Below are 16,316 nucleotides of genomic sequence, written 5' to 3' on the forward strand. Positions count from 1 at the left end.
CTGTGTAGGTGAAGTTTGGCTGATGTTTTCTTTCCTTTGCTATCTGAATTTGGGAGATGGGTTGGGGGAGGGCGGTGGAGGAGGAACTCATGTTTTCTCTGTTTGTGTCTCTGGTGGACACTGCAGTCCAAGAGGGATGCCCTCTGGGCACGGTGAGGCAGCCGCATGCGAGAAGCCGATGGTGGGAGCTGAAGAGAAGAGAAGGTCAAACCTCAGCAGGAATGTCCATCTCAGGGAATTGTGCAGGGGGCACCTAAAGAGTTTCCCAGAGGACCCCCCTATCCCAACCAGCACCCCCAAAAGGTGTAGCCAGATGGAGAGAGGGCAGAGAAGCCAGTCAGCATTATAGAGGGAGACAGTCACAGCCAGAGAAATAAAAGGAAACCTGTCCTGTTTCTGCAACCTCCTAATCCCTCCAACCAACTGGAGAAGGTACATCTTGAAGAGACAGGAAGGAAATCTCTTAGAGCAACAGAAGGACCTCCCTCCCTCCACTCCAAAGAGTCAGGCACCTACTCAAACCTCCTGTAGACTGGGGAAGGGAAAAGGTTTTAATTGGGGTTAAGACTGAAATTTAAGTGGGACTGGGATTTACTAGCTGGAAGAGATCAGAAACAGGAAGTCTGTCATACATTTCGGGAAGAGACGGGAAAGGGAGATTCAGAGGAGCAGAGATCAGCAAACATTTTCCGTAAAGGGCCAGGTATGAATAATTTAGGCTTTGTGATCCACCAGTCTCTGTTGGAATGACTCAACCCTGCTGTTATAGCACAATGGCAGCCATAAACCATATGTAAATGAGTGGGCACAACTGTTTTCCAATAACACCTTACTTACAAACACAGGCATCTGAGGCAGGTTATGTTTGCCAACACCTGCGACAGAGTATGACTGGAGGCAGAGACTGGAAAAAATAAAAATCTTTATTTTGATAATGCATCAGCCAGTTCCTGTTAAAAAATCAGTTTCCACAATATGTCCCGAATCTCTTCGGGCCCATGTATGCTTCCTCTGTGCTGCCTTCCCCAGCTGTCCTGGCTGGGAGCGTGCATGCCCTCTTCAAAGGTCCTTCCTCATAGGACTTGCTCCAGGCTTCTTCATCTGCAGACTTGCGGGTCTCACACACTTTTGCGTTTTGCCACATGGGTAGATTTGAAAGAACTTCATGAAGTTATGCACTTTTGTTTGTATTATGAGCCAAATGTGCTTTCATGTTTCACAGCCAACTTAATTTACTGAATGAAAAAAATAAAAAATCAATATATAAACTTTAAAGGCAGATGGCATATTCTTTTTGTCCACTGCATATTAGATTACCTCACACTTACTGCCCACTGAGTGTCTTGAAACCACACACATTTGCTATCTCACAGTCTCTAGGGGTTGAAAGGCCAAGAGTGGTGTGACAGGGTCCTCTGCTCAGGGTCTCACAGGGCTGCAGCTGAGGTGTTGGTGAAGGATGGAGTCTCACCTGGGGGCTCGACTGGGGAAGAATCCACTTCACCATTTGCATGGCCATTGGCAGCTTTCTGTCCCCTGCAGTCCAGTCATTTTCCTTTTCTTCTATTTCACTTTCTGCAGTTTCCATTACCTGCAGTGAACTGTAGTGCAGAAACATTAAATGAAAAATTCCAGAAATAAACAATTTATAAGTTTTAAATTGGGTGCCATTCTGAGTCGCATGATGAAATCTTGAACCATCTCTTTGTCCCGTGTCTCCATGCTGGTAGGCTTGTGTGCTGTCAGTCACTCAGTAGCTGTCTAGGTTGTCAGATCAAACCAGCACGGTGTAGATAGGTTTGGGAGTATCCACAGTGTCAGGCATCCACCAGGGGCTTGGAGTGTATCCTGCAAGGACAAGGGGGATCTGTGTTTGTAGGAAGGAGAGCTTCAGTTTCCTTTTCTTTTCTTTCTTTTTTTTTGTTTGTTTGTTGTTTGTTTTTTTTTTTTTTTTTTTGTCTGTTTGAGAGGGAGTCTCGCTCTGTCACCCAGGCTGGAGTGCAATGGTGTGATCTTAGCTCACTGCAACTTCCACCTCCTGGGTTCAAGTGAGTCTCCTGCCTCAGCTTTCAGAGCAGCTAGAATTATAGGCACCCACCACCACAACCTGCTATGTTTTTTGGTTTTTTTTTTTTGTATTTTTAGTAGAGACAGGGTTTCATCATGGTCTCAAACTCCTGACCTCAGGTGATCTGCCCACCTCCACCTCCCAAAGTGCTAGGATTACAGGCATGAACCACCACGCCTGGCCAAGCTTCAGTTTTCTGTTGACTGGAGGCAGGAGGCCTCCAGTCAAGGAACTGAGGTTCCTTGCTACATGGGCTTCACCAACAGAGTTTTTTATCTCATCAAGCCTGCAAGGAGAGTCTCTGGCACAAGTCTACTGTGAGATGGAGCCCTACAGAGCTTTGGCAACCACTGAAAGGACATCTCCCCACCTTGCCACATTCTATTTGTTGTCCTGTCCACCCTCAAGGAGAGAGGTAGCACCAAGGCGCACAGTCAGGTGGTGGGGGTTGTTGTTGGTCCTACTGTCTGCCTGCCACAGATGGTAAAGGTGTTCATATGTTCTGCAAAACCCCGAATTGAACTAATTAGTAGCAAACTGAGGAGCTGACTGAGGTCCTTACCTTTTCCCTGCCTGAGTATAAGAAGAGGAAGGAGGCAAATTCATTTCTCCCTAGCATCTCCTGCAGACGGAGTGGTCTCCAGGCCTCCCTGTCCACGGTTGACTGAAACCAGCCCCAGTGAGGAGCTTCCTCACAGGACTTGCTTGGTCTTCAAGGGAAATCTTCCTATTTTTAAGGAAATTTTAGGAAGAGTTCCTTTAATTCCATCTAGCTAGAAACCTGTCTACTCATAGAAGCTGTCACATCAGAAAGGGCTTTTTTATCTGGACAACAGCAGCAAAAATATCCCAGCCAGTCAAGTTTTTCTCTATAGGGAAACTGAGGCTCAGAACCAAAGACCCCAGAGGGCGGCTCGGCATGATGGTAGCAGAGTTCTGGGTCTCCCAAGGCACTGGCTGAGATTTGACTCCCCAGATGCTGCCATTTCTCTTTCAATGGCGGGGGATGTTAGCGCAGTCCTGAACTTCGTCAGCAACCACTAGCCACAGAGTAGCTCTGGCAGGAGAGTGGGAAAATCAGAGGAGAACATTGTGCCCCTTCATAGCAAATGAGTTCTGAAGAGACTGTCTTAAAGTTCAAAGTACTTTTTTTCTGACGTGAAAACTTTAAATTACTGTTCGTATGTTCCATGAAAGGTATTTTGTTTTTTACATTTCTGGTTTCATCAGGAAGAAAGTTGTGTTTTAATCTATTAATACCTTGTAGAATTATTTACAGTCAATTCAGACCATTAGTTCCCCTCTGTCCTAGTTCGGGCTGCTATAGTGGAATACCATAGACTGGGCTGCTATGGGCAAAATTAATTTCTCCCAGGAGGTTGGAAGTCTGAGTTCAGGGTGCCAGCATGGTCAGGCCCTGGTGCGGGCTTTCTTCGGGAATGCAGACTGTGGGCTTCCCATCGTATCCTCACGTGGCACAGAGAGAACTCCCTGGGGTCCCTTCCATAAGGGCACTAATCCTGTTCACAACGGCTCCATCCTCATGACCTAATCACTCTCCAAGGGCCCCACCTTCTAAGGTCATGACATGGGAGGATGTGTTAGGGTTTCACGAAGTGAATTTTGTGGAGACACATTCAGTTCATTGCATTCTTTTAACCAAAAGGCTATGTTCTTGATTTAGGATTTGCACATTATAATAGTAGTTTGGGGTAATAAGGAAGGGTTTAAACCTGGAGCTATTCTGAAAAATAGAATATACACCAGTACACGGGGGAAATATTTTAAATGAATCTTCAATTCTTGTTTGTGGAGCGGTGGTTCTCAAACATTAGCATGCATAAAAACCACCAGGGAAGTGTGTTATAAAAGTAGATCCCAGGATTCCATCCCAAGATCCTGATCCATGAAGTCTGCTAAAATGCTCTGCAGTTGTTTGTCTTTTGATAAGCACCCAGGTGAGGTGAGGCAGGTGCACAGAGCTGTCCTGAGAAGCCTGGCAGCCTCCGTGTCTCATCCAAAGCCTCGCTTTATAGATGGAGAGCTCAGGTCCAGAGAGGTGGATGATGTGCCCACATCTGGGCAGGTCATAAGAACCCCAGCTCCACTCTCAGGTCAGTCAGTATTCCTCTCAGGTTGTCATTTCTCACAGGAAGATTTCTCCTGATTTATATTTTAAAGAGAAGAAGCACTGCAGGAAGATGGCATAAAGTAGAATTTGAAGAAAGTTCCGAAACTGATAACTTTGCAAAAGTAAATAAAATTAAAAAAAATTAACTATTTTTCATCAATTCCGTGTCTTGAATTGATTCCTTGCAGGATGGTTAGAGAGATGGGGGAGTCATAAAAGAAAGCAGGCTCTCTCCTGACACTGCATTTTTCCTCTGCTGCTCCCACTTGCCTCCTGTGTTACCTCGGTGCCCCTTGGAGATTTGCTCCTTGCAAACCATGCACCCATAGGCTCTCAGGGCATGCTTGGGGCTGGCCTTGAAAAGCAGCCCAGGAACATTCCTAGTGCTGCATAAATGCTGGTTATGAGACCAGCACACTTGCTCAATAAAGCACTGGGACTGTGCAGTGTCAGCCCACATGGCAGGATGATGAGGGCCAAGGACCCTGCTTGGGCTTGAGCCATGCTTTGCTGTTTATCTTTGTCATCTAAATGACTTTTCTTTCTCATTTGGTCTGAATTCTGAAAATCAATATTTTAAACACAGAGGACAAAATAGAATGAATAAAATTAATTGTCACATTGGGAAGGAACATCATTCTGGTGAGATTTGAAATCACAAATTAGTTATCATTTTTAGAAAGCTGAAAGAAAATGGCTTTGATGGAAGAAGTTAATTGAGCAGTTTAGTTTCTTCCCTCCTGAAACCTAATTCAGAACCTGAAGTAAACGGATAGTCCGGGGACAGCGCCCTGGGAGCTCTCTGTGAACAATGGTGCTCTTGGGATCTGTACTGACACGTCCAGCCCGAGAGCCAAGAGCAGAGCCTGTCGTGGCCTCGATGCCAGTGTGCCTGAGAGACAGCACCCAGTGGGTGTCTCACACAGCCTCCTCTGGATGCCATCACAGGCGGCCTGCAGTAAAGGAACATTTTGCCATTAGATGATAGAATCTTTTCTAAAAGTTGGCAGAACTCCACAGTTCCACCTGTCAAGTTCAGCCTCCTTAGAAATCCCTCAATTAAAACTGGGCTCAGGACTAGAGGTGTGCCTGTGTTGCTGGGTTTGACTTGGACCCGACCGGCTGGGGAAGGTCATGCCTGCCTTTGCTGTTTGTTGCAGTAACACGTTGCTCACAGCAAGCTGTCTTGGGGGTGTGGTAGAGCTGAGATGTGAGAATGACTCATAAAACAAATCTCAGGCTGGGGACTTGTTCCTATGGGATTCCCACGTTACGTGGGAAAGTGTAGAGCACACTGTACACATCCACCCTGGAGCCAACTGTTTGGATGCTATATTGTGAGTGATTGGTCCCTGAGTGCAGGCAAAGTGTCAGGGTGTTTCAGCAGCAACACCCACGTGGGGTAGAGTTGGAAGAAGTGCCAGCAGCTATGTCATGCATCCATTTTTAATAGTTATTTAATTCCATTTTTCTAGCCTGAGTCAATCACCAAAAAGGTTGAGAAATTTCAAAGCTGGATATATCAGATTTGTATCAGATGTTCAATTTGTTATAAAACAAACAGCTTTAAGAGTGTTCTGGTAATACATAGAGACAACTATATGTTTTAAAAATAAGTTCTTAAAGTTGTTATCAGCTTATGTCATAAAACTGATGATGGTAGAAATACACCTTTATTGTATATTAAATTTTTTTATATTTAAAATATATTTTTAATTTAAATTTGAACTGTTTAGTTTCTTTTTTCTTTTTTCCTTTATGGATTTGGCAAATGGCATAAATTTAGTTTTTAATGTGAGACTTAGAAATCTAGACTGCAGCTCTTTGAAAAAGATAATTTCTAAAGCACTTAATTTAAGATTTGGTATGACTTTGTTGTAATGCAATGTTGGCAGACATAATAGACATATATTAATTTTTTAAAAAGAAAGTAAACTATTTTGCTCTACTCTAAAAGGCTTAGGATGATATTAAATGTGGCTTAAAATAACTTGTACATTAGTAACAGCTTTAATTTTAATATTTCCATGTTTATTAGTGGAGACCACTTTGATCTGCAGTGCTCTGCTAGCTTTTGATTTAAACTGATTTTGGTTATGAACTAAGTGGGAAAGATCACACATTTTTTTGTTTCGACTGTTCTGAAACCACTTTACTTAAACACTCTACAAATAAAACTGACTAGTTGGCCAGTGCCAATGAAATTTACATATAAAGGTGGCCATGAAATCTTGCATGTCTTGTCATTTTAGTCTGGTTCCAAGGATAAATACCTTGGTTTCAAATCCAAATTTATTCACTTTCTTAAAAAATATGCTATTTGCATGTATTTTTAAAGCACATAGGCCTTTTTTTAAGCCAACATTTTGAGGAATCAGGGTGGTACTCAGAGGCATTGTGTATGGACTTGGACATAGCTGCTTTCTTTTCTACCTGGGGTCTGCTGATGGGATTTGGTCCCATAAGGGAGGGCAGAGATGGGCTGTGGCTTCCTTCCCAGTGATCCCAAGGCCTGGCATGGCTCTAGCAACATAGCAGGTGCTCAATAAATATTTGTAGAACCAGTAAGTGAAATGCTTGATAATTTCATTTTTTAATTAATCAGTTAATAAATAACAACTTTGGGAGAAAGTGCTTAGTGTGACGACAAATGGTTCACTGCTTCTGCACTTACTGGTCCTTTTCCCACCTATAGGCAGCTGTCATAGAGAAATACTTCAGAGGTACTTCTCAAACCAACCTAAATTTCTTTCCTTTTGTATATGACTATATAATATATGATTTATATGAATACATCATTATATACAATTATAAATAATATAAATATATACTTTGAGTATATTGATATGACATATACATATATATAGTATTTATCCATTTTCCTTTTGGAAAGGCAAATGATATGGGACTAGAAAGGAAATTGCCACGGTGCCAGTGTTTCTGCATGGTCCTGCTTGCTGCCTGCTTTTTCTCCGCCCCCAGTTTCTTTGGTTGAGGCTCATTTTCAAAAAAATTTGTCTTCGGAAGGCTGAGGCAGGAGAATCGCTGGAACCGGGGAGTCAGAGGTTACAGTGAGCCGAGATCACACCACTACACTCCAGCCTGGGTGAGAAGAGCGAAACTTCATCTCAAAAAAAAAAAAAAATAAAAATTGACTTGATTCAGTTACTTAAAAAACCCTTAAGAAGGCACAAGTTCTCAGCCACTTTGCACCAAGTTCTCAGTAAAAATTAAAATGTCCTCAAGAAAATGAAATGGTCTGAACATCCATTTTTGGGTGCTTCTAAGTATGTGTTCTTTCCATTTTTTTATTTTAATTTTTAGTTTTCGGTACATATGCAGGATGAGCAATATCCAGAATCTACAAGGAACTCAAATTTACAAGAAACAAACAAATAACCCCATTAAAAAGTGGGCAAAGGATGTGAACAGACACTTCTGAGAAGAAGACATTTGGTTTTTTATAAACAGTATTAAATGTGTGTGGCTATTTTGCATAAGAGTCAACCAGGAAAGAACCCTAATAAATGTCGTTTTGCAGAATGGATTAGGCATTGAGGGCAGTGCCAGGTTCCCATCCTATCAACGGCGTGAGAAAATTTCCCAGGGTGTTCCACGGCTGGGAACCTGCTGCGCCGCTTTGTCCCTGGCCACTCGTGGCCCATCCCTAGAAGCCAACAGCCTCGCTCACTCCGGCGCACCTGCAAGCCCGGCTGGAGGCAGCTTTCCCACACCGCTGCTGCCGCTTGGCTTCCTGGAGATTGTGAAACCTGTTTATTGAGTGCGTTTCACGGCAAGCTATGGATTATGCATTTCCCAGGAAGCCCTGCCCTTTCTGTTAGGGTGGATAATTAGTTCATCGGGTTAAATTTTACTGTGTGGCCTGCCAAAGCTTTGAATGCTGTCACTTTCTAGGGGTTGTTTCTGGTCACTCAGAAGAGTTTGATACAGCAAAGTTCTTTGATCCTCTTGGGAATCAGATTCAGTTTAGTGGCACTCATTCAGTGTGTCTCTACTTAACAAACTCACAGATCAAAACAAGTAGGTCTTATACCTCCCAAACACATCCTACCCAGGATAAGATTGAAATAAAGCCAATGCCTCTGGCTGTCACCACAGAGCACCTTCTCTGTCTCAGGCCACACTGCACTGCTGTGGAAAGGGGGTCCCTGATGCTGGAGATTCAGGCTCTGACACTCTGCACGGAGCCACCGCTCTACCTGACTTCATCACGTGGCCCCTTTTTCATGTCAAAATACATAAAAATTTGTGGAAACCACCCCATTTGGGGAACTTGTTTTTTCTCTCCTCAAAACTCAAATTTGCTGAGATGATCCACCAGCACTGGGTAAGCAAGGACTAACAAAATTGAGAGGGAAGAGCCAGGACGCATCTGAAACCACGATGTTTGAGAAGTATCATTCGCTTCTTTTTATCTTGCTGTACCTTTGCTCTAACCTCAAGCAAAACTCTCTATGATGGCTTCCATGAACAATCAGTTACAAAGATTAAACAAAACATAGCCTCGAATGCACTTTCTGTGCGTGGATTCCTCTCTCAGATGCACTCTTGCTCCACTATGCGGACCTCTGACTTCCACTGGGTTGAGGGGTGCACTTGTGAGGGACGGGCTGGCCCAGGGGACTTTAGGAGGTCAGGGGGTGGCTCTTCTAGGGATGGGCATGGTGCCCTCTCAATCCAGCACACGGAAAGTAAAATAGCTCCCTTAGTCCTTTATTATCATGTGTTCCAATGCAATCTATTATTTTTTAGTGAAGAACAAAAAATAAAACACATGAAGGTAAATTTGGTTTTGTCTTTGTGCCGGATCCTCAGGAAAATGGAATCGAGTGCTCTGTCTTCTCACATCAACCTACTGCTTCCCACTGGCTATACTGATGACCCACAGGGTCATTCATTTTTCTGAATAATGCAAGTTGTAACCTATATGAATGGTTCAAGATTTGACTGCTGTTTGAGTCTGTTTCATGAGAAGTTAGAAGTTCTGCATTAACTGCTTTTGCATTCAGTGCTATTGCAAACCTTAGGTGGTGTGCAGGGTTCACTCATTAACTATTCAAACTCGTGGAAGTCATGATAAGTATCAGGCACTGTACGAGGTCCCGGGACACAGTGATGAACAAAATCGCTCTCTCCTGACTGGTGGAGTAACTCTACAGCCTGGTGAGAAAGAAAAAAGTGACCTGTGGGCAGAAAGTACTCGATAGTCTATTTGTGTGTGTTTTCTATTATCTTAAATATTTTAAATTATATTTTGGTATTGTATTATTTAGCATATACAATATAAAAGTACATGTACATACTTTGAAATGAATAAATATATATGTTGCATAGATGAATTAAATGGATTTTTTCCTAATAAATGAGATAAAACAGATGTGGGGATGGTCTGAAGGATGGTCAATGAGTGAAAGTCAGCCAGAAGGTAGAGAGGCTTGGCTCACATAGCAGTTGGCAGTGATTGGATGTGCAGTGAGCACCGTGCTGGTCCTGGCTTCTGTGTCCTGATACACACTGCTGCTGTCCGCTTGGAATTTCCTTTTGCAGCTTGTCCACCCAATTCCCACGCATTATCACTGGGCTTGGCTGAGCTGCCTCCTCCAGGCAGCCGTCAGGGCCGCGGAGGCAGTGTGCAGAGCTGCGCCTATAGGCTCCTCAGTTCCTGAGATAAGCGGCGAGGGCACCGCACCGCAATGCCACTGTGCCCTCTGTTCTGTGGCTGTTGGCGGTGGCATTGCCTCTCTGTGACAACACTGCTTCTCATTCTCAGCCTCTGTTTCCCTGTGGGTTGCCCCACACTGTGATAGTCTCTGCACCTCCGAGATGCCAGATGCCAGCTCCCTAGAGGTGGAAAAGCCTTGAGGAAGAGGGCCCGTGCAAGGTGTGGTCACTCCAAGTATGGGGCCAGGAGGAAGACTATGGAGCTGCTGTGAGGGGTCGCCCTGAGCTGAGGGCCCCGGGTCCCACATGAGCCGCAGTGGACAAGGGGCGAAGTGCGTCTCTGCTGGGACATTGGCAGAGGTGCTGAAAGCTAATGAGGAGTGCAAGCTCATTGGAAGACAGCAAAGGGGGCACGTTTTCGTGTGTATCTCTCTTTCATTAAAGCTCATTGTATAGGGAGGTAGTATTATTATTATGAAAACTTTTGCATGTAGTAAAATATCATTGATCTCTCTTGCCATAAAAAGATTTGAAGAGGTTCAGCCATTCCAGTCTTCAGGTTGAAAACTGGTGTCACTTTTTAGACCTACTGTCCACTGTAGATTCCTTATGTAAACTTTAGGACTTCAGTGACTTGACCTCATTGCCAGGCTTAACTCCAGGCTCTTCGCATTTGACTGGCTTTGTGGTCAACTGTCCAGCCTGCAGCTGCACTCGTCATTGTGTTACTGCTTTTTACCTGAATCCTAATTTACCACAGAACATTCTGGCTATACTACACTGTGAGAAGTTAGTCAGGCCAAGGTAGGGAAAATTGAGAGGTGAAGCCAGCTGAGCTTCTGGGTGGGGTGGGGACTTGGAGAACTTTTGTGTCTAGCTAAAGGATTGTAAATGCATCAATCAGTGCTCTGTGTCTAGCTAAAGGATTGTAAACGCACCAATCAGCACTCTGTAAAATTGCACCAATCAGCACTCAGTATCTAGCTAAAGGATTGTAAATGCACCAATCAGCACTCTGTGTCTAGCTAAAGGATTGTAAACGCACCAATCAGCACTCTGTGTCTAGCTAAAGGATTGTAAACGCACCAATCAGCATTCTGTAAATGGATGAATCAGCACTCTGTAAAACGGACCAATCAGCGCTCGGTAAAATGGACCAATCAGCAGGATGTGGGCGGGGCCAAATAAGGGAACAAAAGCTGGCCACTGCAGCCAGCAGGGGCAACCCACTTGGCCCCTTTCCATGCTGTGGAAGCTTTGTTTTTTTGCTCTTTACAATAAATCTTGCTGCTGCTCACTCTTTCGGTCCGCACTACCTTTATGAGCTGTAACACTCTCTGCAAGGGTCTGTGGCTTCATTCCTGAAATCAACGAGGCCACGAACCCACTGGGAGGAACAAACAACTCTGGACGTGCCACCTTTAAGAGCTGTAACATTCACTGCGAAGGTCTGCAGCTTCACACCTGAAGTCAGCGAGACCATGAACCCACCAGAAGGAAGCAACTCCAGAGACATCTGAACATCTGAAGAAACAAAGTCTGGACACACCATCTTTAAGAGCTGTAACACATACTGCGAGGGTCTACGGCTTCATTCTTGAAGTCAGTGAGACCAAGAACCCACAAGAAGGAATAAATTCCGGACACAAAATTACCAGGAAGGCTTGGTGTAAGCAGTTAGAAAAATGAAACCATAAGCATAGGAGGCTTCCAAGTGAGTCAGAAGGAACTGCAAGCCAATCTCTGCACTCCTCTTGAAAATGTGTCCTCCTCAGATTTTCATGCTTGTTGTTCATTATAAGCCGCTAGACTAAGCGGCATCACTGGAGTACATGTCAGCCATTCATAAAATGGTGTGGGTAGATGGCAAGCTGTGTGCAGCACGTAGGAAAAGCTGAGTCTTCCTCACTAGTTTGTGCCAGATGCCCTGATGGACCTGTTTGTTTTTAATCGCAAAAGAGTTGCCCAGCAAGGGGGCCTGGAAGATTCCTTCCTTAATGGAAAGCACCAGGACTTCAGTTACTATTATGATATAGCATCAAAAGCAAGTAAAACAAAACAAAACATTTTCCTCATATTTTCCTGTGATCTATTACAAGGCATGTCTCTAAGTTTTGCTTTATATGGCTTGTGTTTTGTAGTCTATTAGAGTAAGGCACTTGTCTTAACAAATAACTCTAAAATCTCAGGGTTTTAATGCAGTGGTTTATTTCTCACAGTTTGCATCTAGACTTGGAGATGATAAAGGAGGGTGGAGACAATTAAGTGGATATGCAGGATGGAGGGATGGGCAGTGCTTGCTCCACAGAGTCACTCAGAGATCCAGCCTCTCTCCACCTGCAATGTCGGCCATTGTCTACAGCCAGGTTTCTCAATCTCAACACTATCAACATTTTGGGCTGGGTAAATAGTTGTTGTGGGCACTTTCCTCTGCACTGTAAGATGGTCAGCAGCATCCCTGGTCTCTACCTACCAGTTGCCAATAACACCCTGCCCAGTTGTGACAACCAAAATATCTCCAGACATTGCCAGTGTCCCTTGGGGGCAAAATTGCCCCTGAGAGCCAGTGGTCTAGGGCCTCCACATCCTCCCTGGGCTCCTGTGAAATGACAGGAGAAGCACAGGTGACAGGAGCAGAGAGAAGGAGTGGAGGATCACACAGGGAGCTTTGCCAGCCAGTGCTAAAAACTGTGTGTCTCATTTAACCCACATTCCATTGGCCAGACATAGTCACACGATGGTACAAAGAAGGCTGAGAGTTGCAGTGAAGCTGTGAAAAAATAGAAAACCCCTAAAAGACACAAGTAATATTTTTACTTAAAATGACAATGATAGACTGTATAATAAATGAATGTTCTGATTCTCTGCAAATAATATCTATCTTCACATATTTCTGAATTTTTCTTCCTGGTCAATTGCAGCTGATTTTTGGTGGAGATATATCTATATATACATTTTTTTTAATTGAAAAATTTTTAAGAAATGAGACAGGGTTTTGCCATGTTGCCCGGGCTGGTCTCAAACTCCTGGACTCAAGCAATCTGCCCACCTTGGCCTCCCAAAGTGCTGGAATTACAGGTGTAAGCCACTGCGCCTGGGCAGGCAAATATCATATATTGTGCGTGTATGTGTGTGCATGTATGTGCACACATGTACATATACAGACGTAAACGCTTTTCCCTACATAATGTCTCCATACAACGCAGTTGATAACTGCAGCAGAGACTGATAGGAGATGTAGCAAAAGAAAGCAAAGCAGTGGGTCCTCCATGGCTGGAACATAAACGGAAGGGATTTTAATCACTGCCTACTCACACATAATTGTTGCGGGAAAGCCTTTGAGACTTGTTGAAGGGGAGATTCTAGAGAGGGGAGCCATAGGCTCACTCTAGGTGACAGGTCCTGTAGTGATGGAGACCTTAATGTCTGCCCGTACTTGGCGAAGGTGGAGCGCTCTATCTACACTGTAAAAATCTGTTAAAAAGTGTGCTGGTAGCAGGAGAGAATTAACCAAATAAATGTGGTATATCTGATCTTATGTATTAAAATAATATATATGGTTTTGGTTTTTTTGAGGGAGACGTGGCTTGTAAAAACAGGTTTAAACATTGAACAACTGACAATGTTTACTGACTATGAATTTCATGCAGGCTATTGTACTATGTGCAGGGGAGGGGTACAAAGGAAATGGAAGTCATGGCCCATGTACTTGAGGAATTTACAGGCTAATAGATTACATACACATGCTAGGGAATAGGCAACATGTTGGCTGACAGCCAGCTGGAGATCTGTTTGCTCGTTCACTCTATCTTCCTATATTTTCTGAGCGGTATCTCACACCAGAATAAGCAGGCCAGTTTCAAAGAGCTCTTCTTCAATTAGATGAGTATTCTTGTGTCTTTTATCATAAATACCAGACCACTTAGAGATTAGGCATGGGTTTACATGGGCAGAAAGAGATGAGTGAAATACTTTTTGAGTAAATTAAATCAGTGTGGATTATCACTCTGGGTGCTATTGATTTTTCACCACTCTCTCTTACTATTCCCAGATCTATAAAGATCCCCCATAAGTCAGGTTTCTGCCAGAAACAGGTAACTTTAATTTCACAGTTTATTTTGCTCACACAACTATTGCTCAAGTCCCTGATGGGGTTTGTGGGCCGGAGGCCACTATCCCAGGCTGCTTCATTGAGGACAGGCCTGGGCTTCTGCTCTCCTGGGGAGCACAGTCTTTTTCTTAAGGGGAGGGATCTTTCCTGGGAGGAGAGGAAAATCTCCATATATGAAGTGGAGTCTTGAAGCCCTACATAACTCAGGGTACTGCCATTCTTCACCTTTGTTAAACAGGGGGAAAACCCACCCAACTCAGCTACTGAAGAATTCCTTCAGACGTCCCCTGTCTGTTTCCTCCCCACTCTTACCCGATGCTGACCCTAGGTAATAACTGATTAGTCAGGAGAGGTATAGGAAGGGTCCTGCAGGGCAAATGCCTCTGCCTCCCATACTGCAGCACCAGAACCATGGGGCCTTCGCAGAGCAGGGTCACTGGGCAGCAAGAGCTTTTAAACATATTTGGTTATTTTTGTTTGAACTCATGTTGGAGGAAAAGACCCAAGTGAAATAACATAATACCTATTCAGGTTAACACTGGCTGAAACTCTTTTTATTTTTAGCATGCGAATTCCTTCATTTCCCAGGTTTCCTGTAATGGCTGAACTTTTAGTGTAAGCTGATCAGTTCTCAAAAAGCTAACTGAAAAATAATCTGAAATAGAGCTCCTTTTCAAATAAACTAACAAGGACTTTTGGGCAAAGGTACTTACTTCATTTCATTTTAGTTAAATAGTGTTCTGTTTTTAAATAGAGGTGGGCTTGTGAAAAAAGCTGATTTACTGATTTCCTGGCCCTCCACAAAGTACCATTACATGCATTATCTCATTAAAATCTCATAGGAAAACCCTTGGAATAAGCACTTCTTAAAAATCTCTATGTATGAAGAAATGAGATCTGAAAGACTATCTTAGTCTATTTTGTCCTGCTGTAACAGGATACTACAGGCTTGGTAATTTATAAAGAACATAACTTTATTTCCTCAGTTCTAGAGGCTGTGAAGTCCAATATCAAGGTGCCAGCCTCTGGTGAGGGCCTTCTTGCTGCATCAAGCCATGGTGGGATGGCAAAGAGAGAATGAGGGAGAGCAAGAGATTGAACTCACAACCTCAGGGTCTTTAATAAATTGGCATTAACCCATTCATGAGGGTGGATGCCTCAAGACCTAAATACCTCCTATTAGGCCTCACCTCCCAACACTGTTGCACTGGAGATTAAGTTGTCAACACATGCTTTTTGGGAGGCACATTCAAACCATAGCAAAGATCTTAGAGCAAACTGCCAAGGTTACAAAGCTGGTACATCTAGGGGCCAGAACCTGAATCTAGGGCCACATACTCTGAGGTTGGTTCTTAATGCTCACAAAGCTAATGCTTTAAGTGGGGCCAATTAATGAGGTGGTAGCATAAGGATAGCTCAGGAATTAGTTGGTCATTTAGTTCTCCCCATCCTCCTTCTCTACTCAAGTTTCAAACCAAAATATATTTGGGGTGTATCTGATGTATATTTTTGTTCCCAAAAATTTCTAGTTGTCTAGCAGATGTATATATATATATTTTTTTTCTTCTTTTTTTTCATCAGGTCATGATATGTTGTTCTTAGTACATGAAGGAATCCTGTGTGTTGTGCAGTTTCTCTTGAGATACTAGCTTTGTATTCTCATCCAGTCAGTCAGGGCCTACAGCCAGGTGATGCAGTAAAACCAAGGATGTGCATAGTGCTCATTTGGAGGTGAGCGCTATGAACTGAATGATGTCCCCTTCAGATTCCTATGCTGAAGCCCTAACTCTCACTGGGATGGTGTTTGAAGGTGAGGCCTTTAGAGAGGTAAGTAGACTTAGATAATGTCCTGAGGCTGGAGCCCTCAGGTGCTATTAGAGCCCTCAGAAGACAGACATTGGAAAGCTTGCTTCCTGTCTGTACTTGCCACCATGTGAGGATGCAACAAAAAGATGACTGCCTGCAAACTAGGAAGAGACCCTTTGCCGGACATCAAATCTGTTGCCATCTTGATCTTCCCAGCCCCCAGAACTGTGAGAAATAAGTGTTTGTTGTTTAAACCACCCAGTCCATAGCAATTTGTTATAGCAGCAGAAACTGACCAAGACAGCCCATAGATGGATTTGGTTCAGCTATTCATTAGCCATGTGACTCAAAGTATTTAATTTACCTGACCTCTGTTTCTTCACCTGTTAAGTGGGGGATAACAACACTTACTAAAAGAGTCATTATAATAAAATAATATAGGGAGGTGTGTTGGAAATGACCAATGTCACTGCAGGCAGTAGTTGTTATTGCAATGTTACTATGAATCAAATCTGACC

This window comes from Homo sapiens, chromosome 8 (genome assembly GCF_000001405.40).
Source record: "Homo sapiens chromosome 8, GRCh38.p14 Primary Assembly".
NCBI lineage: Eukaryota > Metazoa > Chordata > Mammalia > Primates > Hominidae > Homo > Homo sapiens.